Genomic DNA, 26,450 nt, shown 5'->3' on the forward strand with positions numbered 1-26,450 from the left:
ATTTTTGATACCAGTGCCTGAAAAGGCATTTTGTGTTTCGTAATGTGATACTTTCCTCTGTCTTCTCTATTTCTCTCCTTTCTTCTCTCTTGGTGCCTCTGTTCACTTTTGCCCCCTGAGTCTTCCTTCCTGCTTCCATTGCCTTTATCTTGCTAAGTCTCAGGCCCTTCTGGTCACATGGATGTTGGTCTTCTTCATTTATACCCAGCTTCCTCCTTATCTACGTGTACTGCCCTTCCTTTCCTCTGCTGAGGTCCTAGAGTTTCCTCATCTAGCCTCTCTTCTCACCTTCTTTGTCTCTGCCATGCTAGGGTAGTTTTGTCCCCCTTTCTAACACGTCCATTTTATAATCCTTTATAGTTCCATTATCTTATAGTCTTGATTTATTTTCCCATTTGTCCTCGAAGGCTTCAAGGACCTCTCTTGATGAAACTTCCTGAGATTGTCCCTCTAATATTTTTCAGATTTTCCATAATACTTGAAGTAAGTGTACAAGGGTACATTTAGGAGACGGGATGTGTCAAAAGTTGAGATGAGGGAAAATAGAAGGATGGGCCTGAGAATAGGAGAAGAGGAGGAGAAAAAGCCAGTTGGGAGTCCTGAGAGCAATACAATGATTGGTGTCTTTAGGAACTGCCTGAGCGTCACTCATTAGCATCAGCACCCTAGATTCCTTACCCATGGTTTGTAATTCTTAAGGAAAGAATTTATTCTTGTAATAGAAAGAGAAGAACCACTACTTCCACCATCTTGTATTACTTTACCTTTCCCGGTTTCTGCTGCTTTTTTGTTTTCTCATTTCTCACCCCCATTCCTCCTAATTTTATCTTCATTTCTACTTATCATTCCCTTTCCTCCTTATGATTCAGAAGTTTTCTTGAGTTAAAATTACACTTCAGTGAATGTTTATGGTATAATTAACATGTAAGTAGGAGTTCTTATATTTAATCTGAATATGAATACTGATACAGAATAACAAAGAATTGAGGAAAGTGATTTTTATTTCTTTATACTAAAATAAAATCCTTTTTGCTTTCAGTTTAAGATTATTTCAGAAGTTTGACAATTTCCGGATTCTTGTTTGTGGAGGCGATGGAAGTGTAGGTTGGGTTTTGTCAGAAATCGATAAGCTCAACTTGAATAAACAGGCAAGTGCTAATTCTTTTACTTGCTAGTTAACATGAATGCATACTAACATACTTACCAGAGAGGTGCAGAAATGCAGTAGTCCCTATTTCTCAACTTGTCTGAAAGTCACCCTGTTGCACTGTCTTTCAGTGTCAGCTGGGAGTGTTGCCTTTGGGTACAGGAAATGACCTTGCCCGAGTTCTTGGCTGGGGAGGTTCATATGACGATGACACCCAACTTCCTCAGATCCTAGAGAAACTGGAACGAGCCAGTACCAAAATGTTGGACAGGTAAAAGTAAATTCTTTTCTACAACTAGATGGAAAATGGCATACTGAAATCATTTTTTTGATGATTTCTTAATAAATATTTATTAATAAATTTTACTGACTAGAAGCTCCACGAAGGCAGAGCCTTCCTGATCTTGTCCACTGGTTAATCCCTGAGATGGAGAACAGGGCCTATCACAGAGAAGACACTCAATAAAGATGTTTTATAGTGAATGAATGAATTATAAAAAACTAGTCTGAGGAACTCATTATTTTAAATACAGAAGGCTATGTTACTACTATTTACTTTTAATTGCAGTTCAGGTCAGAAAACGAAAATAGTTCATTTTGTGGGGGGCCTTTTGATGAGTATGGTAGGTAGTCTCCTGTCATTGTATGGTTTCCAAAAAGCTAAAGAGGACATATAAACGTTAGATTTGTTAGAATATCTCCTCTTAAATATACATATTAAGAATGCATTGATCCAATAAGAACTAGATATGTTAAAATATAAGCAGTCCTTTCCCAGGGGCAGGAAAATATTAGGAAGACAGCTTCAAATGAAGGGACTATCATTGTGTTTATGCTGTTCTTGATCACATCTCTTAATTGCTTTCTCTCTGAATGTCCGTGTATAAAAAAGAAGCTACAATGTGTGTACCCTGCGTGTTATGGAGGAAGTGTTTAAAATTTGGGTATAAGGAACAACAGGACTCAGTAACCAGCCACTCCCCAACCCCCAATGTCAGTAGAAGACAGATGTCAAAATATCATGATCAACTTGAGGTAGCATAAATCAAAACAATTTTGATAGAATTAGCCATCTGTGGAACTCTTCCCGAAAATAACAAAATTTCACCAGGGAGCCACCAATCTGAAATGTAATTACTCTAAGATGGGCTATAACCTAATTAATTGTAACCTTGCCTGTCATAAGGTAAAATATTTTGCTGACAGAATATTTAAAAAGAGAGCTGGGAAATAGAACATTTGTCTCTGTTCATCCAAAATTACATGAGAGAGATACTCCAGTAGCTTGGGTGCATAAAAGTTTATAATCTTATGTGCTACTGGGTTCAGCCTCCATCCTTTAAAATAATCTGGAGGTTAAAAGAAGAAAAGGAATGAAAAAGAGAAATGGTACCTATGGATATGTTAGTTAGCTTGATTGTGTTGTATATATATCCAAACATCAAGTTGTACACCTTAAATATATACAATTTTTTATTTGTCAATTATACCTAACTGGGGAAAAAAGATTGGAAATAAATAAATAAAATCACCATTATTTGTAAATGAGCCTGGAGGTGACTTCCCAGACAACTGTCCAATTCTGTGGTTACCAAACAAAAGGGGTTATTTAAATGCTGTCTTTGTTGCAAATGTAAAGACCACTTCCCCTGCTGTTAGGCATTTCATCTACCCTGGGTATGTGCTTTCCCCTCGTGTGCTATAGAAATTCACTTCTCAGTCGGGGGAGGTGGCTCACGCCTATAATCCCAACACTTTGGAAGGCCGATGTGGGAGGATCACTTGAGCCCAGGAGGTGGAGGTGGCAGTGAGCCACAATTGCACCACTGCCCTACAATCTGGGCGACAGAGTGAGACCCTGTCTCAAAAAAAATTAAAAATAAATAAATAAATGAATAAAAAGTCACTTCTCCAGGTGGTTAGCCAAGAAACAGCACCCCCATGGTGAAATTCCTTGAATACCAACTGATATGCAAAATCAAAACAAAACAAAAGAAAATACACACACACAAAAATCAAAGTGGATTCAGAAACTTAAGATCTTTGTTAGAAACATAGGAATATTTTATTCCTATGTTTCCTTTATTAATTTACTGTTTGTAAAGAACAAGTGGGTTGGTTGCAGTGGCTCACGCCTGTAATCCCAGCACTTTGGGAGGCCCAGGTGGGCGAATTACCTGAGGTCAGGAGTTCGAGACCAGCCTGGCCAACACGGTGAAACCCCGTCTCTACTAAAAATACAAAAATTAACTGGGCATGGTGGTGGGTACCTGTAATCCCAGCTACTCGGGAGGCTGAGGCAGGAGAATCGCTTGAACCCGGGAGGCGGAGGTTGCAGTGAGCCAAGATCATGCCAATGCACTGAAGCCTGGCCAACAGAGCGAGACTCTGTCTCAAAAAAAAAAAAAAAAATACACCAGTTAAAAAGTCATTGTTTAATGTTTTAAATTAGATGAGTTTTTCAAATATATTTATTTGATCCTCAGAACAACACTTTGGGTTGGGTCAGAAAAGCATTATTTTACAAAGATGAAAATGTAGTTTTCTGGATACAGTGGGAATAAAAACAACTAATTTTTTGTCTGCTAGCACTTTCTAGTTGCTTTACTTCGTGTATCATCTCATTTAATTAAATCCCTTCTCCTAGAGATAGCTAATATTGCCATCTCCATTTTACTGGTGAAAAGGTTTAGGAGGCTTTCACATTATCTAAGTTAAATAGCTAATAAGTAATAGAACGGGCATGGTAAACTGCAATCCCTGCTCTGTCTAGTGTCCAGGGTCCTTTCTCAACTCTGCACTCTTTCCCCTTTATGTGTGTAGGCCAGATGGTTCCTTCCTTCTGGCCTGTGCCTCTGCTTAGCTGATACTCATATGCACCTCTTCCTCACTTTTTCATCTCTTGCTGCCACTTTCTCCTTTTTATTTAGCTCCAACCATTTCCTATCGAGTGGGGAGGTATAGCATGGAGGGTGCAAGGAACTCAGACATTTGGATGGATTTATTTACCATTTATTTAACTGTCTTTGACCAGAAAAGTATTTCCAGCTATAAGGAACTTGACTTTTATGTTTCTACTCGTGGTTTTCCCTGTTTGGATATTTACAAAGTTTAATTGTTTTGTTTGCTTGCATCATACCTATTTTTTGCACTGGAATGTTAGCTTCATTGGGGAAGCCTATTCACCCTTGTGTTTCCAGACCCTGTGACTTTGAGATGCTCAATATAGTATATCTGCTGCATGGATAAATGATGGCTTTTGGTTTTCAAATATAAATTTCTTTTTTTTTTTTTTTTTTTGAGACGGAGTCTCGCTCTGTAGCCCAGGCTGGAGTGCAGTGGTGCGATCTTGCCTCACTGCAAGCTCCGCCTCCCAGGTTCACGCCATTCTCCTGCCTCAGCCTCCCAAGTAGCTGGGACTATAGGTGCCCGCCACCACGCCCGGCTAATTTTTGTATTTTTAGTAGAGACGGGGTTTCACCATGTTAGCCAGGATGGTCTTGATCTCCTGACCTCGTGATCCGCCCGCCTCGGCCTCCCAAAGTGCTGGGATTATAGGCATGAGCCACCACACCCAGCCTCTTTTTTTTGAGATAGAGTTTCGCTCTGTCACCAGGCTGGAGTTCAGTGGCACAATCTCGGCTCACTGTAACCTCCACATTCAAGCGATACTCCTGCCTCAGCCTCCCAAGTAGTTGGGACTACAGGCGTGTGCCACCACACCCAGCTGATTTTTGTATTTTTAGTAGAGATGGGGTTTCACCATGTTGGCCAGGATGGTCTTGATCTTTTGACCTCTTGACCTCGTGATCTGCCCGCCTCAGCCTCCCAAAGTAAATTTCTTTTAAAGTATTTTCATGGGAAGAGTTGAATAGTAGCTAAAAGTAACTAGTTTACATGTCCCAAAATATAATGTATGTCTATTGGGGGGCTTTCTGGGAATTTGAATTTTTATGCAAATATTTATTCTCATAGGCTGAATGATACACTAGGTTCTGTTTAAATATTGATCTTGGGATTTTCCTCTGGGTTCTATCAGTAGCTTCAGCTGTGTTATGCTTTTCTTAAAATTCATTTGTTAAGGTACTGCTTTTATTATGCTTTGTTTCTGTGTAAAAATCTTTATTTTACATCTTTTTCTTTGAGATGGAGTTTTGCTGTTGTCATCGAGGCTGGAGTGCAGTGGCATGATCTTGGCTCACTGCAACCTCTGCCTCGCAGGTTCAAGTGATTCTCCTGCCTCAGCCTCCTGAGTAGCTGGGATTACAGGTGCCCGCCACCACACCTGGCTAATTTTTAATATTTTTAGTAGAGACGGGGTTTCACCATGTTGGCCAGGCTGATCTTGAACTCCTGACCGCAGGTGATCCACCTGCCATGGCCTCCCAAAGTGCTGGGATTATAGGCATGATTTACTGCACCTGGCCTTTTTTCTTTTTTTTGAGACAGGGTCTGGCTCTGTCGCCCAGGCTGGAGTGCAGTGGCATGATCTCAGCTCACTGCAACCTCCACCTCCCAGGCTCAAGTGATCCTCCCTCCTCAGCAATCCAAGTAGCTGGGATTACAGGTGCACAGCACCATGCCAGGCTATTTTTAATTTTTTTGTAGAGACAAGGTTTCACCATGTTGCCCAGGCTGGTCTGGAACTCCTGAGCCCCAGCAATTCATTCACTTCAGTCTCCCAAAGTGCTGGGATTACAGGCATGAGGCACCACACCTGGCCTTTATTTCATATTTTGTTAGTCTACAATAATGTCCTGGCCCAACTCTTCTTCCCAAATTTTGAAATTACTATTTTGGATAGAAAACTGGACTTATCTTGAGTTGATTGCTTTTCTCTAACACCAAATGATTTTATGTTTGCTTTGAAATTAATACTTGTAGCTAATTGAAATAAATTTACTTCAGTTAAGTATTATTAATATTTTCCCCCTACTCTCATGCTTACATTCATTATTTCTTAATTTAAGAAGGGGTATTTAGCTAATTTTCATTTTATGTATGTATAAGCTGATTTGGCAAGTGTGATTGAGTAACAGTTTATAGGTAGTATGTATTTATTTAATTTAAGACATTGTTTTAAAACTTTGGGTTATGACTCATTAGTAATTTATAACCTAGTTAGTAAACTGCAATGAGCATTATTTTTTAAATAGAACAGAAAAGAATGGAAAAGTCAGAATGCATTGCACCTGAGAAGAAATGGGGGCGTTGTAACGTGTGGATTTCTTATTGTGGGCTATGGGTCTTAAAACATTTGGAAGCCACTAATTGGAGAAATGGTAAGATGTAGAAATCATAAATTATAAATTCAACATTTTATGAGATTACTGAAATGTGATCTCTTTTCCCATTTTTGGTTGTTTTAAGATAAAATAAACCATAGTTCATGAATGTGTGTGTGTGTGTGTGCGTGCGTGTGTGTGTGTGTGTGTGCGCGTTTATGAGATGCTAACAGTTAGTTTATCCAATTTTAAGGAAATCTTTGACCAAAGAGTTTTTCTCCCTTCAGGTGGAGTATAATGACATATGAACTCAAATTGCCACCAAAAGCTTCCCTACTTCCAGGACCTCCAGAAGCATCTGAAGAATTTTATGTAAGACTTAACCCTTTACCTATCATTTGAAATGGGGGTGGATATCTTGAGAAAAAAAAAAGAAAGAGAGAGAAAATGTACTCCTAATATATTGTGGTAGCATGTTAACTTAATTTTATTTTTGGGGTATGGTCTCATTGACTGACTACCTCTAGTCCTCTCCCCCAGAGAGAAGAATCCTGAATCTAGGCTAGAGTCCTTCCATGACCACCCACACCGGGAGTGCCCAGTCACTCCTCTTCCTGGGACTCTTCATGTGTAAAGTGAGGCTACAAAGTCATGGGAGTTAAATGATGTAACAGATGTGTAAAGCACTATCTCTTCTCCTGCCCAGATAATTCCTCCCTGCATGTTCTATCTGCCTGTTTCCGTTTTATCAGCAGAGCTCTAGGAAGGTCAGCTGGTGTTTCCTGTTAGTGTTTATTCATCTTCTACTTTGGCCATTAGATTGTTTGATTATAAGATGTTAGCTTCTTTAAACAGTATCCAAACATACCAATACTCGTGGCCAGAATATTATGCAATTTCTGTCTTACTGCTTGCTTTGCGTACTCTTTTCTTGTTCTTTTCTTTTTGAGACAGGGTCTTGCTCTGTGGCCCAGGCTGGCTGGAATGCGATGATGCAAACACAGCTCACTGCAGCCTTGACCTCCTGGTCTCAAGAGATCCTCCTGCCTTAGCCTCCCAAAGTGCTGGGATTACAGGCATGAGACACTGTGGCCGGCCCCTACTCTTCTGAAGGGACAGCAAGACAGGTCTCTGGGTTAAGCCTGTTGATATAGTTAAAGAAAGACCACTTAATTCCATCTCTACTACAGACCATAAATGACTAACGTTTTTAAAGATTCAGCATTCTGATTAAACCTCAAAGCGGTGTAGATTTAAAACAGAACCTGACTTTCAAAGGATTAGTCTCTGACTCATTAAGACCATTTGATCTATGCTAGCTTATTTTTCCCTCCAGGAAAATTCATCTGTTTATTTTACAGTTGAAATCTTTGTTTTGTCATTAAGAAAATTATGATCTTGTCAAAACCAAGGCAAGGAATGATAACTAAAAACATGGGGCCGTTTCTTAGAGAAGCTAATTGTATTTTAAAAACTTTTTCTGACATAAAAACTGCTGATAGCCAAAACTGCTTCTAAAAAAATTTGGGAAATACAAAATTATATGAAAAAGAAAATAAAATCACCTGTAGTCCTACCACCCAGAGATAATCACTATTAAAGATTAATATATTTACCATTTTATTTTCAGCAGCATTTTTAGTTATGTGATTCCATAAACATAACACATTTTTATGGAAATCAGTCCTTTATCTTAACAGTATTTTTGTAAATGTTATTAATTTCTTTCCAAAAAAGACAAAAAGGAGAATTTTTTTCTTCCATTTACTTCAGAAATGTCTGTTTTCTAGCATATAAAATAACAGTAAATATTTACTTTTATCACGTGTATAATCACTAAATATGAGGTACAATTCTAAAGATATGAAGGAAATCTCTCTTTTTTTGTACAAAAGAGTTTTAAATGAAACTTTGCTTTTTAAAAATAAACTTACTTTTGTAACAAAGGGATAGCATACTTTAAGATAACAGATTAAATGAGTGTTCTGAATGGCCCTGACTAGGCCCTGAACTAGGCTGGCACCAGGAATGCATTTTACTGTGTGTGGCCTTTTTACCTTGAAAACTGCGATAAAAGTAGACTAAATCTTTCTTCTTAGCTTTTGTATACTTCATTAGCTGTGGGTCTTAGGCAAATTACTCAGTAAGCCTCAGGTTCTTTGGCTATAAAACAGGACAGAGGGGTAAATATATACAGAGTGCTTAATTACAGCGCCTGGTACACAATGCAAAATATTAACTCTTATTATTACTTACCTTTCTGACCGTGCTAAGTGACTGCATAGTAGGTTAATAAGTTACATCTATAATTTTATCTTTGAACATAGAGGCTATTTTATTTTCCTCTGAGAGAAATTGTATTTTTTGATCTTCAAATATTTTTAATGGACAAAAACTTGGATTTTTTGAATGTAAGTTTCAAATGGCATTAATCAAATGTTATTAATTAATACATTAGTCAACTGGCATTAATGAATTTATTAATAGCATTAATGATCATGTAAAATATTTTCTACCCTGCAGGGAAGAAAAATAAAACCAATCTCTGGAGAACATTTTCTTTTTTCAAATTTTAAAGTTTATTTTTAGATTATATATTTTCATTTTTCTCATCCTAGCTGTAAAGATGTAATTTTTAGTGTTTAAGAGATCAGTAAGGTGGATTTGTGGGTAAATGCAACATCTTGTGTAACTTGGGAGCTCCTGGCCTCACTTCCTTTCTTTGATGTAAAATTGCTTTCCTGTAGTGGTCTGCCTTTGAAGGAGAATGTAGAAATTTAAAAGAGTAACATACTTTTGAAAGAGTAACATAACCACTTGTGGAATGAAGGTAAATTAGGAATGTGGTTCTTTTGGGAAGAGTCTAGTCAGGAAAGCTTTGTGGGGAAGGCTTATTCAGACTTAATTGAATCTTCAAATAAGTCTGAATAAACTGAGGCTGATTGGTAGAAGTAATGAAAAGATACCTGAGTCAGGCAGAAGAGCATAGGCGGCCAGCTTGCCTAGAGCAGATCATTTATACTAGAAAATTTTGCGCTGTGTGAAATGGAATATTATTTGAGGCATACATTTGATGTAAGGCTCTGAATATGAGGCTGTTTAAATATTGTGCACATTTTTACATATTAGGAAAATGTATGTGGTCTTTCAACGGGATGTTAAAGTTTGAGTCAAATAGAAAAGGGATTATGGATGCTTTTGGCATTTTGACTATTGTTTAACAGAAATATTTATTTACATGATTATATGAAAGTGTATTCAGCATTTTTAAAAACTTTTTTATTGAATTATACATACAGAAGAGTGCACAGGTCATAAATGTATAGCTTGGTAAATTTTCACAAACTAAACAAATCTATGCCAGGCCACCCGTCAGTGTTCAAGTATCCCATAAGCCCCCTCATGCCCTCTTTCAGTCAAGACCCCCACCTCCTACCCCAATAATCACTGTGCTGACTTCTAATAGCATAGATTGGTATCTGTTTTGTACTTATAAAATAGAATCATTTTGTATGCTCTCATTTGTTTCTGGATTCTTTCACTCAATGTTATGTTTATCAGATTGATCTATACTGTGGCTTGGCTATAAATCATTCATTCTCATTCTCCTATGGTCTTCCATTGCACAAATACACTGCAATTTGTCATCTATTCTACTATTAGATGAATGCTGCTGTGAACATCCTAGTGCATGTCTTTTGGTGAACACAATTTTGCATTTCTTTTGGGTGTAGATATAGAAGTTGAATTTCTGAGTCCTGTGATATCATTGCATATGTTCAGCTTTAAGAGACACTATCAAATCGTTTGTGAGAGTGTATCAGTTTGCATTCCCATCAGCAGCGTTTGAGAATTCTGTAGCTCCATAGCCTTGCTAGCACTTGCCATTTTCTAGTTGTTTTCATTTTAGCCATTTTGGAGCTGCATGGTGGTACTGCATTGTGGTTTTAGTTTCCATTTGCCTGATGGCTGAGATTGGATATGTTTTCATCGGTTTATGGGCCATTTGGATATTTTTATATTTAAATGTCTAGTCTTTTGCCCAATTTTTATTAGATTTTTTGGCTTTTATTGTACTACTTTGTAGGAATTATTTTTATATTGAGATATTTTTACATTAAAAAATTTTGTAAAGGAGTTTTTATGGATTTCTATAAGAATATAAATTAAAGAATTCCAGAAACCGAAAGCCTTTTGCCAAAAGGAAATATCTATTTTGCATGATGACTCTTTCATATATTTCATTATAGTGATTGCCTTGCCTAAACATATGTCATGAAGGGTTCCATTTCTGGAGCAGCAATAAGTGAGTTGTATAAATGCCAGCAACAATAATACAGTGTAGAGTTTTCTTTTCTTCAGATGACGATTTATGAAGACTCAGTTGCAACGCATCTTACAAAAATCCTCAATTCTGATGAACATGCAGTGGTCATATCTTCTGCCAAGTGAGTTGTGGGTTTTAAGTCTTTAAATATGGTGAAAATGAAATGATAGCTGGCTCCTACCATTTAGGTCATTTCTTTGTGAGTTTTCTTCTCAAAAAATATCTTGGAAGTAGCTTATAAAATTAGATGTACTAAATTTGAATTGATTTTTAAAAATCATGTTAGCATCTTATTTGCAGTGGTGTATACTTAGAGGGTATTTTTTTAATGTTTAATTTGAAACATTTTTATCAAAAAGGTGTAAGAAGCGTTTAGAGTTTAATTAACCTAAATGTCTATTTAAGGAAATGTTTATGATTACTTATAATATGGAAAACACATTTCATTATAATTCATTATTTCCATAAACACTACTATTTAGGAACTGTTTACATCACATTAGAAAAAGGAAAATGATGAGATTTTTCAAAATGATGTTTCTCAGCATGTTTAAATTGAATAATTACATTTTAATTCAAAGTTATCATATTTTAGTGAAGTTGATTTTGTACATGGAGCCAAAGCTACTTGATGTTATTATCCCAAATGTTGCCTGGCTGGAATTTAGAATTTAGTTTTGAAACATCCTATGCTGATGTCAAGAGACTGGAAAGTCGACTAGAAGAAGGGGTGACACCAACTGAAATTTTCAACTGATAAGCAAAAGAATGCATTCAAATTCTGGCTTAGCAAGCACGGGTTACTGTTATGCAGGAAGAGAGCAGAAAAGGGGAAGAAAGAAAGAAAAGGAGTGGGAAAGTGGTAAAGAAAAAATATACAAATTTTGGTATATTATGTACTTAATTCACAGTAAAGTTGAGGAAAGACAAGATCAATCATTATAAACAAATTTGCTTGTGAAAAAAGTACAAATGTAGTAACAATTGCTTTTGACAACATATTCCCCAGAAATAGGAAGCAGGACTGCACAACAGGAAAAGAATTGAATGGCTTACAGCAAGGGAAGCACACTAGTTGGCCCAGGAGAGGTGGGCTGCAGACTGTATTTGGCGGGCAGTGCTGCAGGTTTCTGTTTTGTGCAAATATTGGACTAAAGCATCTTCTGCCATTTTTACTTAATTGAAAACAATTTTCCTTACAATCATGCAACTAAAATAAAATACAGAAATAATTGGAAACTGCATCGAATAGAAGACTGTAACTGTCATCTGTAACTTTATTGCTTAATTTTTCTTGTAAAGGAGAAAATTTAATTCTATCTAATTTATTAATGTCAACAAAACAGAGTTTTAGTATTTTAATATTGGAATTCTGTGTAAGATTGTATTTGAACCAGGTACCGTGGCTCATGCCTGTAATTCCAACACTTTGGGAGGCCAAGGTGGGCAGATTACTTGAAGCCCAGGAGTTCAAGACCAGCCTGGGCAATATGACAAAACCTCATCTCTACTCAAAGTATACATACTAAAATTAGCCAGGTGTGGTGGTGCTTGCCTGTAGTCCCAGCTTCTCAGGAGGCTGAGGTGGGAGGATCACTTGAGCCTGGGAGGTGGAGGTTGTACTAGAGCTAAGATGGCACCACTGCACTCCAGCCTGGGTGACAGAGTGAGATCTTGTCTCAAAAAAAAAAAAAAAAGATTTTATTAGAGAAAAGGTTTCCACTGCCAAAAATGTTGTACTACAAAGGTGTTAAGATTAAGAATGATAGGGAGAAAAAGGGGTGGCTACTCTAATTATCCTGTTTGCATCTGTAGAAATTTCTTAACAAGAATTCCACTTCATTAAAAATATGTGAAATATATGAAAGGTAGTGATCAAACACATGAAAGTAAATATAAAGGTTTTGCTGACATCCAAACTATAAAAAGTGGCCAGTTAAAATATTTACTTAACTATATTAAACAAAAAATAATTCTCTTATGACTTGCTATACCTTAAAAAAGCTTCCATTACAGCTTTCCACCTTTTCTAGCAATGTCCTCTGAAATGTCATATCAAAATACATTTGATTCACAGGGCAAGGGCCAGCCCATCACTTAGGTGTATGAACTGGGCCTGGGATGAGAAAGACAATAGGGAGTGCTAAAGCCTGGGACAAACTGGAGATTTGTCCATTTCACCATCAAGCAATACAATTCATTGAAAACCCCAGTGGCACTGCCCACCAAACAAAGAGAGTGTGTAGCCCACCTCTCCTGGGCCAGTCATTGTGCTTCCATTCAGCGTTTTTTCTAGTGTTCAATCCTGTTTCCTATTTGTGGGGGATATGGAAAGAAGGCCTGTTATTTCTCCCTCATGGAACTGCTAGGATAATTAAGCTGAGTAATATAATAAGTATAGAGCTTATAAATGACAGAGGGCTGTATTAAATTATGGTAGCATCACCTCACGTTTTACCCGATTACATTTCAGATGTTTTCTTTGACCTTGGCCTGACTCTTTGTCTAAGGCTCTGCTCCCAGCCCTAGCTTTGGGTTTCTCCCTAACCAGCTTGCCTGCCCTTAAGCAGATTCCATTCTGATGCAGCATCCCTCCTGTCACTCACTCATCTATGCTTCCAGGCCTTTACAACCCCAGATACAATTCTAGGGAATTTGCCATAAAGAGGCTGAAGAGAAAAAAGAGGAGACAATATATAATTATTTGGTACTAGTAATACAATATATGTTAAATTTTATTTCTTCTTCTTATTATTTTTGGAAGAAAATCACTTTATTCCAGTTATCTCACAAACAATAAAATCACAACAGCTGGTTTAAGGAGGCCACACATTTACCCAGTCCCAAATTCTATACCATCTTAATGAAATTCTGCACAGTAAGAATATCCTCTTCGGCCGGGCGCGGTGGCTCACGCTTGTAATCCCAGCACTTTGGAAGGCCGAGGCGGGCGGATCACGAGGTCAGGAGATCGAGACCATCCTGGCTAACACGGTGAAACCCCGTCTCTACTAAAAATACAAAAAAATTAGCCGGGCGTGATGGTGGGCGCCTGTAGTCCTAGCTACTCGGGAGGCTGAGGCAGGAGAATGGCGTGAACCCGGGAGGCGGAGCTTGCAGTGAGCGGAGATTGCGCCACTGCACTCCCGCCTGGGCCACAGAGCGAGACTCTGTCTCAAAAAAAAAAAAAAAAAAAAAAAAGAATATCCTCTTCCACTGCAATTCTGAAGCAAGGAAGCTATGAATGACAGAGGAGAGGCTTAACTGCTGGTTTCTCACTTTATACCTTCACTATCTGTTACATTTTTATGCTAAATTTACTTGGTCATGAAAGCTGATTTTCCATGTCTTCAGCTGAACTTGATTAGGCCAGTCCATGTGCACGTCTGCACTGTTTCAGCACCTCCTTGGAACCCTCACTGAGCTTGACATCACCCTAGTTCTGGGAACACTCCAGAAACTGTTCTGTCTTATACAAGCAAGGCTGCTGCTGCTGTGCAGCTAGTCTCCCAGAGGCTCCTGGTAAGTGATGTCAGGCCTTGTGAGCCCAGCATTACTTCCTCTGTTTAAGCCACCCCATTCCCATGATAGTTGACCCAGTATATGCCCCACAGCAGGGCCCACAGCCACGCCAGCTGCAGTGGTTGCCATCTGGACCATCAGACCTGGCTGCCAGGATGCAGCAGCAGGAGACTCAACTGCAGTGGGTGGGGCCACTGCTGGCAGCTGAGCTGCTGGTGCTGGCAGCTGAGCTGCTGGTGCTGGCAGCTGAGCTGCTGGTGCTGGCAGCTGAGCTGCTGGTGCTGGCAGCTGAGCTGCTGGTGCTGGCAGCTGAGCTGCTGGTGCTGGCAGCTGAGCTGCTGGTGCTGGCAGCTGAGCTGCTGGTGCTGGCAGCTGAGCTGCTGGTGCTGGCAGCTGAGCTGCTGGTGCTGGCAGCTGAGCTGCTGGTGCTGGCAGCTGAGCTGCTGGTGCTGGCAGCTGAGCTGCTGGTGCTGGCAGCTGAGCTGCTGGTGCTGGCCGGGGTGCAGGTCTCATTGGAGGTGGCTGGCTGGCCAGAGGGGCCATGCTGGAGGTGCAGCTTTGACTTCCATGTGCCATCACAAATGGGCAGTGGCTCAGCATCTCTAAATTTTATTTTTATGGACATTTTCAAACAAAACTGATATAATTACTTCCCACTGTACCCATCATTCAGTTTCAGTATTTACCAACATTTTGCCATCTGCTTCCTACTTTATTTTGCTACAGTATCTCTAAGAACATCCTGAAAATTATTCTACTACACTTTTGGTATATAGTCCTCCCTCTCTATCCATGGGGGATTGGCTCCAGGACCCCCTTGGATACCAATATTCATAGGTACTCAAGTCCCTCATAGAAAATGCCATAGTATTTGCATATAACCTACACACATCCTTCCACATACTTTAATCATCTCTAGATTATTTATAATAACAAATGTATTTGCTATGTAAATAGTTGTTATACTGTATTGTTCAGGGAATGATGACAAAAAAAAGTCTGCACATATTCAGTGTAGACAAAACAATCTGTTTTCTTTTTCAAATGTTTTCAGACCATGGTTGGTTGACTCCATGGATGTGGAACCCATGAATATGGAGGGCTAACTGTATGTGTGTGTGTGTGCTTGTGTGCACGTGTGCATGTGCGCACATATAATCTTTTTAAAAATCTAAAAATTAATAATAATTCTCTAACACTATCAATATTACTTAAGCCATATCCCATTTCCCTTAGTTTTCTCAGAGGTTTTTCTGTGAACCTTGTCTGAATTTTGACAAGGTCTTTAAAAAAAAAAAAAACCACACACACTTTATTTGTTCAAAATTCAGACAATGCTCACACACTACATTTGAGTGATATCTCTTTAAGACTTTAAAAATCTTGACCAGGCATGGTGGTCCATGCCTATAATCTCAACACTTTGGGAGGCCAAGGTGGGAGGATTACTTGAGCCCAGGAGTTCAAGACCAGCCTGGGCAACATAGTGGAATCCCATCTCTACAAAAAGTTTTAAAATTAGCTGGGTGTGGTGGTATGTGCCTGTAGTCCTAGCTACTCAGGAGGCTGAGTTGAGAGGATCCTTTGAGCATGAGAGTTCGAGGCTGCAGTGAGCTGTGATCACGCCATTGCACTCCAATCTGGATGACAGAGTGAGATCCCGTCTTAAAAAAAAAAAACACTTAAAAATTCTATAATGGTTTCCCTTTAAAAAACAATTCTTACTGAGGCATGACATATACAGTAAAGCACCTAAATCACAAGAGCACAACTCAATGATTAAAAAAATACTGCATGTACGCACAGTCACACACAGACACACATACACACTTGTAATTACTACCTAGATAAAGAATTCCCTTTTTTTGTGAATGTTATTTATTTATTCAGTGATACAATATTAAGGCAAAATGTTTAAACCCTCTTGTGCCTGTTTGTATTTATTTCATGCAATAATAATTCCCAGTAGCCTTAACTGTTTTCAGCTATTTTTAAAATGTTGAAATGCTAATGGAAAAGTTGTATTCCACTAACATAGCTAACATGTAGGTTAACCTAAAACAACATTTCTTTGACCTTAGAACTTCATCAATTTGGTATGGTAATAAGAGTTATCTTCTGAGAATCACAGCTCTAACTAGCAATCATAGATACCATTTATTAGTAAAAATGTAAAACAGTTATTAAATAAGTTGTCTTTAGCTACAATGTATGTCTCTCCTTTTATTTAGTCAGTAGTTTAAAAACTTTTTTAGCTTTAACAGTAGGAGTTAATTAGGTTTTTTACTTACGCACTCTACTCACCCCCCAAGTTTTGAAATAAATGCATTTTGTTCTGTGTACAAAAGTTTCAGAAAATGGGATAACTAGCTAGCAGGAATATTGACGCCATTGTCATAGAACCATAGAATTTAGATTTGGAATCTACTTTAGGGATAATTTAGGCCAACCCGCCTCATTTAATTGGTAAAGTGAGGTAGTTGTTAAAAATATTTCCTCAGAGCACAAAGACAGCTAGAGACAAAGATAGCTAGAGATTTTTATGTATTATGCATTGATACTTCTAAATCATCTTCAGTTTCAAATTGGAACTTTTTATTAGATGAAAAATGAATTTTTCAGATATGATGACCCTGCCTGCCAATCTATGATTCTGTCTGGGTACCATTGCCATATTTATCTTAGTGTAGTATGTGCATATTTTACTGTCATTTGCCCACACTTTAAGAAATTAAGTGGAAAGGTGATAAATGAGGGTACTAATACTAGTGATGAGAAGTATGGGTCTAACATATGTAATATAGTAGAGATGATAGTGGAAATCATCAGGTATGTGAAATGTGGACTGTTGTTAGCCTCAACTGAGTATTTGGTTCACACAGTTGACTATGTTCAATTTTGAAGGAAGAGAACAAAATTAAGGAAATAAAATGTTGGAAATGCCAAAAGTTCTGTCTAGGCCTTATGCAGTGGCTCACCCCTGTAATCTCATTGCTTTGGGAGTGCAAGTCAGGAGGATCGCTTGAGGCCATGAGTTAGAGACCAGCTGGGGCGACACAGAGAGACTACATCTCTACCAAAAAAAATTTTTTTAAATTAGCTCAGCATGGTGACATGGACCTGTGGTCCTAGCTACTCAGGAGGCTAAGCTGGGAGGATCACTTGAGCCCAGGAGTTCAGGGATGCAGTTACCTATGATCACACCATTGCACTCCAGCCTAGGCAACTGAGCAAGACCCCCATCTCTAAAAATGTTTTTTTTTTTTTAAAAAAAAAGTTCTAACATTGATTAAAGATATAATTAGGAATTTAGAATTTTTTAATCTCTATGGGAAAATCTGCATTCTACTTTCATTTATTTGACTTTTGCACATATTTTCTGGAAGTCTTATGTATAAAGTAGAAAACTGTGTGTATAGTTGGAGAATATCTTTTGTCTTCCTATAGTAAATACATCTTAAGATTGTTTTTTCTCCAATTTGCACGTTTCTGGTTGGTAGGACTTTGCAATCATACTGTTTTTAAGTATATATTTTATTTCTGTTTTAATAACTCTACATTCACTATTTAGGTATAATAAAAGGTTACTTCATTCCCCCAGAATATAAATATCCTATATTCCTTTTAGCATATGGAACTTAATGAGCAATAAGATAGAGCATGTCTTCTGATTCTTTCCACACTTGTGTGGCGAGCACTCTCCTAACCTTCACATGCCCCTTCCTCAGCTCCTTTGGCCACCACTGCCACAGGATCATAGTGTCTCTGTCAGCCTCTGTTTGCCTCAGTGACATGGCACACTGAGGAGGGGCACCCCTGCTGCCCTTTTCATTCCTAGGCTGATGGACTGAAGGGCTCTGTCTCTAGGAGTGAATAAGATACCAACAAAAGCAGCTATGATAATGATATGACATATGCAGTTTCACAAACCAAGAGAAAATTATGACAAGATGATGTTATAATAATGGCAAGAAAAACCTCTATTTCAGAGTTACAGGAAGATGCATCAATGCTCCTCTCCCTTAAAGTAGCGCATTTTACAGAAACTTTCAGTAAAATGCCTAGAAGAGATTTTGTGATAGTGTTATATATATTTCGAGAAATCCCATGAAGTATTGTTCATGATCAAAGAAGACAAAACTTGACATGAAGTACATGAATGCATGTCTAGTAAATGATAAGCTAGATTCTCTGTAGAAATTTGAGTTTAAAAAGCCAACAAAGAAGGTTCAGGATTAGAAAATATTACCTTTTGTTCAAATAAAATCTAGAAATGTTTGCTAAAAAATAATAAAACAAAAATTGTTAGGAGGAATACAATTTCCAAGGTGATAAATCTGAAGGTTGGTAGTGTGTGTGTCTGTTGGGGGAGGAGTGGTGGTGGTGGTGGTGTGTGTGTGTGTGTGTGTGTGTGTGTGTGTGTGTGTGTATGTCCTGTGTCTATTGAATTGCTCAAGTTCATAATACTGAAGTATATGGAAATTTACCATTTTGCCACTCAACTACCAGAGAAAGTTGTGAGTGTAATAGAAAAAATAACTGCTGGAACCTTTTTTAAATTTAAATTTCTCAATTTATATCAATGATAGAAAGCAATACTATGATTTAAAAAATAGCCTGATTCTATCAGCATAAGCCTTGGCTTTAAAAAAGCTGGTCATATACCATTCTGTTGATTGTTGTTTTTAATCCAGCACCAGATCCAGATCCAGATCCAAAGCCTTTCAAAAGGCAGATTTTGTTAGTGTTTCAAGTTATTTTGTCTTTTAGCTTATTTCTATCGCAAAGAAGCCAAATGTAATTAAAATAAACAAACAAGTAAACCATATACTGCTGACACTAACAAGACCTAAATTAAATTAGTCTTGTAGTTATTGCATTGATTATCTCAAGGAAAAAATGAATAGATTTACAGAGAATATAACTCAAGTGGCAGATTTGTTTTCAGCATAACGCACAACCTCTTTCTCTTCAGTAATAATATATTGTAACTGTAACAATCAAAATATCCATATGATGAGTCGTGGCTTGACAGTGACAAGTGACAATCTTATTTTTGTTCAGCAATGTAATTTCTGTTATGAAAATATGTAAGTTTAGAATTTCAGTGGAGAAAGCAAGATGATGCTTTATCATTTTTAAATGGGATCTAAAAATAATTTAAATGTTTGAGGAAAGCTTCTTATAACATTAATTACTATAATTTAAGTAATATACAGCAAGGCTTATTCATGTATGCATTTATCACTTAGAATGTCTTGGACTTATGTGAGACAAACTGCACAGCAGATAGAAGCATAGATTTATATACAGATGACCCAGATATTTGACAGTTTGCTTAATTGTGTTTCTTTTTAAATATATTCATAAATCAAGGCAAATTAATTCATGAAGCTTACTAAATTGTACAACTTCTTTTCCTCAAAGGACGCTATGTGAAACTGTAAAGGACTTCGTTGCCAAAGTAGAAAAGACGTATGACAAAACCTTGGAAAATGCCGTTGTAGCTGATGCCGTGGCCAGTAAAGTAAGAGGGGACTCTTCAGGGCATGAGAGTTGTTTATGGACAATGCTCACATTCAACTGTGTTTCAAAGCTAAATTGATTAGGTGGTTTTCCTGCCAAAACATCTTAAATCGAGAGAAAAATTACTTTGGATCAGATCTGAGAATTTTAAAAAATATTCTATTTTATTGTTACCCTTTAATATGTAGGAAAACTGCATTGCTGAAAACCTAACTCAAATCCCTGTCCCAGTGATTGATTTTTTTTGGAGACAGAGTCTTGCTCTGTCACCCAGGCTAGAGTGCAGTGATGCTCTCTCTACTCACTGCAACCTTCACCTCCCAGGTTCAAGCGATTCTCCTGTCTCAGCCCCCCAAGTAGCTGGATTACAGGTGCTTGCCACCACACTCAAATAATTTTTGTATTTCTAGTAGAGACGGGGTTTCACCATGTTGGCCAGGCTGGTCTTGAACTCCTGACCTCAGGTGATCCGTCCACCTCAGCCTCCCAAAATGCTGGGATTACAAGTGTGAGCCACCACACCTGGCCATGATTGACTGAAGGGGAGATGCATAGCAGTCAGACCACAGGGGATCCCATGCAGCTGGGCTCCAGTGGAGAAAGCAAGGTTTTCCATTTCCAAGCAGATTTGGGCCAGTTCAGCTGTCTTCCAGCATGGTTCTTTGGATTTCCTAGACATTACAATTCTTGGTCTCTTTCAGAGTGCTGCTTCTTGCATTGCTTTTTTCTTTACAGATTTCTTTCCCCCTTTATAAACTAAAATAAGAACAGTTTACTGAATCTTAAAAACTACCATCTTTGCTTTCATTGGTTCACAACAGGACCTTCTTACAAAAGGCTTGAGTATCTTGGGCTTGCAAAGGAATTAACTTCCCCAAATCCATGTTGGAGATGGCAGTTTAATTGAGTGGAAGAAAAAGAAAATAGAAATAAATATACATTTGAAGTTTTCTGCCTTTTTCTCTTGTCTTTCTGCTCTGTGGAGAGTTTCAGAAAATAGAAACCCTTTCTGGCCATACTTCTGTCTCTAAAGTATTTCTGCTCTAACCTTGTCTCAGCATATCATCAAAGACAAATAGATGAGGAGGAAAGGGACTGGAAATTTTATGGAGATGAAAAGTATATTGGGGGGTAGCATCAACAGCTTCAGTCCTAAATGTTTCTTCACCTCTCGTAATACAAGAAAAGCAGAAAGAAACAAGGGCTTGCCTAGTGCATGCTTTTCTTTCTGTATCCCTCTTCTTTTCCCTCCTTATCCTTGTGCATTTTCCTTCCTGCACTTTCTTTGAGCCAATAATCCCTTAGGCATTGTTCACTCCTTTGCAAACCAAAGCTTTGAAGGGGAGTTTGCCACAACTCAGCCAGATGTGCCATTTATGACGCTCAAAATGGTGCATTAAGTCAATTACTTTTTTTAAAAAGTTGATCCAATGTTTTGTGTAATGTATAGCAAATTTTGTGTAATTTTTTATATAAAGCATCCCTTTGTATAAAATGTCTGTTGTGTTATTTTGAGAAAAATAGCTGTATAAATATTATAAAGATGTTTTTCCCCATGAAATGGAGTCTGAGTGGCTCTGAAATTATATAATAATTGTGCCAACTTAAAAAATTATAAATTATTTCATGTAGTAAACATCAATAAAGCCATTGTCCCTCTAAATCAAAAGCCATAATTTAAATTATAGTTGTCTATCTCTACTAAATGGAGATTTTAAAATTAGCTGCTTCCAGAACCAAAACATCTACAAAATTAAAGGTGAGAATTTTGGTGTTTTTCTCTCTAGTGATTAAACTTTCAAAACATCTCTATAAAAATTTCTTGTACTTTGTCTGCTGATCTTGATTCTTTTTGAGTATTTTTCTCATTGCCATATTTTCCTCTCAGTGTTCAGTCCTAAACGAGAAGCTCGAACAACTGCTGCAGGCTTTGCACACAGATTCCCAGGCTGCGCCTGTTCTCCCTGGCCTCAGCCCTCTCATTGTGGAAGAAGATGCTGTGGAATCGTCCAGTGAAGAGTCCCTGGGTGAAAGCAAAGAGCAGCTTGGGGATGACGTTACAAAACCTTCCTCCCAGAAAGCCGTCAAACCAAGGGAAATCATGTTGCGGGCAAATAGTTTAAAGAAAGCAGTGAGGCAAGTCATTGAGGAAGCCGGAAAAGGTACACATTAACAAATTTAGCTTTGGAAGAAGTTGGCAGCATTTCTACTGCAAGCATAACGGAGTTTCCATAGTGGTCAGATTGGACACACTTTTTAAAAATAAAATTTTTAAGGCAAGATAGAAGATACAGTCATTATAAGAAAACTTGTACATAGTCTTATATATTGTTATGGTAGTAGTAAGAATCAGCATATTAGTGAGGAATAAAATAAAATAGCAGAAATAAATGGAAACATTTCTATCTAAAATACAAAACTAGTTTAAATGACATTTAAAAAATTTTAGATATAGTTTACTTAATTGGAATCTGTTGAATTCTTAAAGAAAATAAAACCTATAAACTACTTTGAAAATATAGAAAAAAAAATTTTTTGAGAAAGGGTCTCACTCTGTTGCCCAAGCTGGAGTACAGTGGCGTGATCTCAGCTCACTGCAACGTCCACCTCCCAGGCTCGAGCTATCCTCCTCCCTCAGCCTCCCGAGTAGTTGGGACCACAGATGTGCACCGCCATACCCAGCTAATTTTTTGTAGTTTTGGTGGAGATGGGATTTCACCATGTTGCCCAGGCTGATCTCAAACTCCTGGGCTCAAGTGATTCGTCCACCTCAGCCTCCCGAAGTGCTGGGATTACAGGCGTGAACCACTGCACCCTGCCAGAAAATATTTTCTTAACATTAATTTCCCAAATGTTTATGTTGCTTTATTAAGAGCTTATAAAAGCTCTGCCTTGTTTTAATTAATGTGTATATTAATACTTCTCAGAATTTTAGCTATAGTCTAAATGTTAATTTTAGTATGAATAATTAATGTTCAAAAACCCCTTTATAGATTGTAACTTGTAATTGTATTTCATTCTCTAAAATTCTTATACTTTACTTGTTTATTCTGATAAAAATATAATTTTAGCAACTTTAGTTTTTGATCTTTAGTTCTTCGGACATCAACCCCAAGTTCATTGCTAAATAGTGTTTATTTGTGAATCTGGAATTTTGTTTGGCATATGTTTCAATTTGCCTTTCCTGAGCATATCTTAATATTAATGGGCTTTATTTTCACTTATCCAAACTATTTGTCTTCTTACTACCTGAAGTTATGGATGACCCGACAGTTCACCCCTGTGAACCAGCTAATCAGTCCTCTGATTATGACAGCACAGAAACAGATGAATCTAAGGAGGAAGCTAAAGATGATGGTGCCAAAGAATCAATAACTGGTGAGGAAACTGGGAAAAAATTATTTTGGAATTAAATAAAATGTCATTTTGCTTTTAGTTTTCAAAAGGCTGATCAGTTTGAAAAAAACTATTTGTATTTTTATTTTTGAAAAGGCTTTTTGGAAGTTAAAGCTTAGATAAATATTCATGAATAATAAAACAATAAAGATAACACCTAGACTATTGTCCAGTACTCTCACATCCCTCTCTTATCATGTAATCTAGAGATTATAACAATAAACTAAGGATTATAGGACTAAGGATGATTAAATATGTTGGTTTTCCTGAGGAAAGAGGAAACACCTAAATCATCTGATTTGAACCTATTATAGCTCACAGATTTCTTTGAGAATTGTAAGAAAGCTGCAGCTCTCCTAACGCTCCAAATGCAGAAAATTTGGCATTTAAGTGATTCAGCAGTCCCTTAAGTTCCATCGATCAACCTTCTGGGTTGATAGTCCTTATTAAGCTTCAAAATCATAGGACTTTAAAGCAAGCGTTAAAATCACTGGACTTCTAATTACAGCCCTTGCTTTGTCAAAACTATTTTGGTAAGGAAATGAATATGTAATTGCTTGAAGAATGTTAAATATCTTTCTACCTTTTAGATTTTAATTGAAAATGAATTTATACTTTTAATATTGTATATTGCCTAAGGGAAAAGTTTCTAACGTACTGGAATAAAACAAAGCAGAAATTAAACTATTAATGAAGATGAGACAATATGAAAATAAATACATGGCACTTATGAAAAGTCAGCACAATTATATCAGAATTGTTTGCAGTCATTGGGGGCAATAGACAATAGACATTGGGGACTACTAGAAGTGGGAGGGTAGGAATGGTAGAAAAGCTAACTATTGGGTCCTATGCTCTGTACCTTGTTGATGATATCAATCATACCCCAAACCTCCGCATCACTCAATATACTCAGATAATAAACCTGCACATGTCCCCCTGAATCTAAAATAAAAGTTGAAATTATAAAAAAAGAAATTGTCTTCATACAATGAAAAAAAACCAAATTTTTGGAGAGCTGACCATATCAGATTAACATTTTCTGCTTGAGCTGTGGCATGATGAAGACCTTTCATTCCCCATGTTTATGGCCGATTTTTCCACAGGACTAGTAGTAGTGAGTACATTTTAAATTTTACATGTTTGAAACATCTCTTGTTAACTATGAAAAAAATTAGATAGTAGGTTTATTAATATGTTGTTGCTAAATTTATTCCAGCTTTCATATGAAGCTAAATAAGTAAAACGTAAACTTAATAAGTAAAAGAAAGGGTAGTTGATAAAGTTACTTTAAATTTAAAAACCTGTTTTTATCTTATTCTCAAAAAATTTTAAAAAATGTTTGCAATCATTAAATTTTTGCTTTTACTTTCACTACATATAAACTTGGGCAAATTTCTTAACCTCTTTTTGGTTTTCTCATCTCTAATATGAGGATAATAATCTACCTACTTCATTGGGTTGCTGCGAAGGTTGAAAAGTTACTATAAGTAAAGTGCCTAGAATAGTGTCTGGTAGATAGTGCTGCCTGAGTGTTCACTGTCATCTTTATTGTTGTTATTTTTATTGCTACTACTGCTGCTGCTGCTGTCACTAATTACATTAACGGTGAGAGAATATTTCATTGTACTTGAGACTCTTAAAAACTTTGAAATCAGACCTCATGGACCTCACATGTTCAGCATACCACCCAATGCAGGCATGTTCTAGGACCCTTGAAGCAGATGGCCACAAGCCTTAGGACCACTCACTTTCAATACATCCCACTCTTATGGTCAGCTCTAATTGTTAGAAAGTCATTCTTTATATTGGGCTTTCTATTTTCTCCCCTAAATTTCTACCCATGATTACAGTAATTATTAGGTTTTATGAATGATAGTTTGACAGTAACAACTACTGGCCTTTATGTAGTGTTTATGGTTAGTTTAAGGAGCAATTTCATATACATTTGACTGTATCAAAGAGGACTCTGACTCTGGAGCTATTTCTCCTCTTCCTTCTCCTCCTCCTCCTCCCTTCCTCCTCCTCCTCCTTCTTCTTCTTTTTCCTCTTCCTCTTCTTCTTCTTCTTCTTTTCTTTCTTCTTTCTTCTTCTTCTTCCTTCTTTCTTCTTTCTTCTTCTTGTTCTTCATGTGGCAGCCCTTTAATGATACCAAAAACAGCTTTGGTGGGATCAGATCTTCTCTCACCTTACATCTTCTTTTCCAGATGATCTGCCCTAAGGTTTCTCTACCAGTTTTTAAACTGATGATTTTAAACCTTTTGTTTTCCTTGTTGCACCCATTTGGTCAATGTTTATCTTAAAATGTGATGCACCATTTTAAACAAAATTCTTCAGATATTTTCTGTGGTGTATTAGCACATTGGTACCCATACACTACTCATTAAGGACATTTTTGATGTTACAAAGACTACTCAAGACTTCTCTTTTAAAAACCTAATTATAGTAGTTTACACTCATCCCAATGAACTTTTATCTTTTTTATTTAGATCTATTATTTCATCCTGTGAAGCTCTTTGGAAGCTTGATTCTATCATCTTAAGTTTATTTCATCTGTGAATTTGATAAGCAGGCCTTTGATGTTTTCATCTATTAGAAAGTGTTGATTACAGCAGAGATGACAATGGCATCCTTACTATACACTGATAATTCCTCCTAAGATGATGGCTGTTAGGAGGATTGGTTTGTCAAAGCTTATTTAATGGTTTTCCAACCGGCTATCATCCCACCTTGCCATACTCTTAAACTTGACACTTCCGTTGTGGCCTATAAAGGAAACTAAAAAATACAAATATAGTGCTGTAAATGTTGATATTGAAATAGACAGAGATTTAGAAAAGTCTTTAATGGTACAGTATTTGGTCTTTATTTTGGCTAGTAATCTAACTTGTTGGAAATGAATAGCAATAGTGGAAGTAGAAGTATATGAAATACTACTTTTTGAGGCACATTTATTGTATCATCATGTAATAATTCATATGTCTGAGATGTGAGAAATACCGTATATTAATATGATTGATGAGATGCTTTATTTAAGAAGAACCAGAAAACATTAATTTAGTTACTTGTAATGGAACATCAGTCTTAGTCATTAGTACGCTCTCTGCTTTTTGTCAGAGTTGAACATCAAAAAGTTGTTTTTATGAGAAATTAGCCCAGGAGTCCTATCTATTTAAAAAAGGGGTGGCTGTTCTGTTACTTTAGTGCAATGGGACTGTTTTTGAATGAGACAATAGAGTGTAAAATTAATATAGTTAGCTTGTAATTAGTTTTAGGGAGAGTGAAGATAATTAAGTTTTAGAGTATT

General features: G+C 37.2%; 1 protein-coding gene and 1 pseudogene across 8 annotated transcripts in view, besides 1 other annotated feature; one reads left to right on the forward strand and one right to left on the reverse strand.

Moving 5' to 3' along the window:
- Positions 1–26,450, forward strand: part of DGKH (diacylglycerol kinase eta) — a 216,515-nt gene that overhangs the window by 127,331 nt on the left and 62,734 nt on the right. For all 8 annotated transcript variants that reach the window (NR_123715.2, NR_123714.2, NM_001204504.3 and 5 more), the window contains 7 exons: positions 1,040–1,148; positions 1,279–1,418; positions 6,660–6,744; positions 10,735–10,820; positions 19,649–19,748; positions 21,636–21,909; positions 23,003–23,125. Coding sequence is in view for 6 of the 8 variants with exons in the window: in NM_001204504.3 (NP_001191433.1) it covers positions 1,040–1,148; positions 1,279–1,418; positions 6,660–6,744; positions 10,735–10,820; positions 19,649–19,748; positions 21,636–21,909; positions 23,003–23,125 (917 nt within the window). In the remaining 2 variants the exon portion in view is untranslated. The remainder of the gene's footprint in view (positions 1–1,039; positions 1,149–1,278; positions 1,419–6,659; positions 6,745–10,734; positions 10,821–19,648; positions 19,749–21,635; positions 21,910–23,002; positions 23,126–26,450) is intronic.
- Positions 2,469–3,100: an enhancer, noted in NCBI's record as "OCT4-NANOG hESC enhancer chr13:42744005-42744636 (GRCh37/hg19 assembly coordinates)". NCBI's record gives its function as "activates a minimal SCP1, AML or CMV promoter by ChIP-STARR-seq in naive H9 embryonic stem cells {active_cell/tissue: H9 hESC(naive)}" and the evidence as "EXISTENCE:reporter gene assay evidence [ECO:0000049][PMID:30033119]".
- On the reverse strand, positions 14,064–14,797 carry CHCHD2P11 (coiled-coil-helix-coiled-coil-helix domain containing 2 pseudogene 11; annotated as a pseudogene).

This window comes from Homo sapiens, chromosome 13 (assembly GCF_000001405.40).
Source record: "Homo sapiens chromosome 13, GRCh38.p14 Primary Assembly".
NCBI lineage: Eukaryota > Metazoa > Chordata > Mammalia > Primates > Hominidae > Homo > Homo sapiens.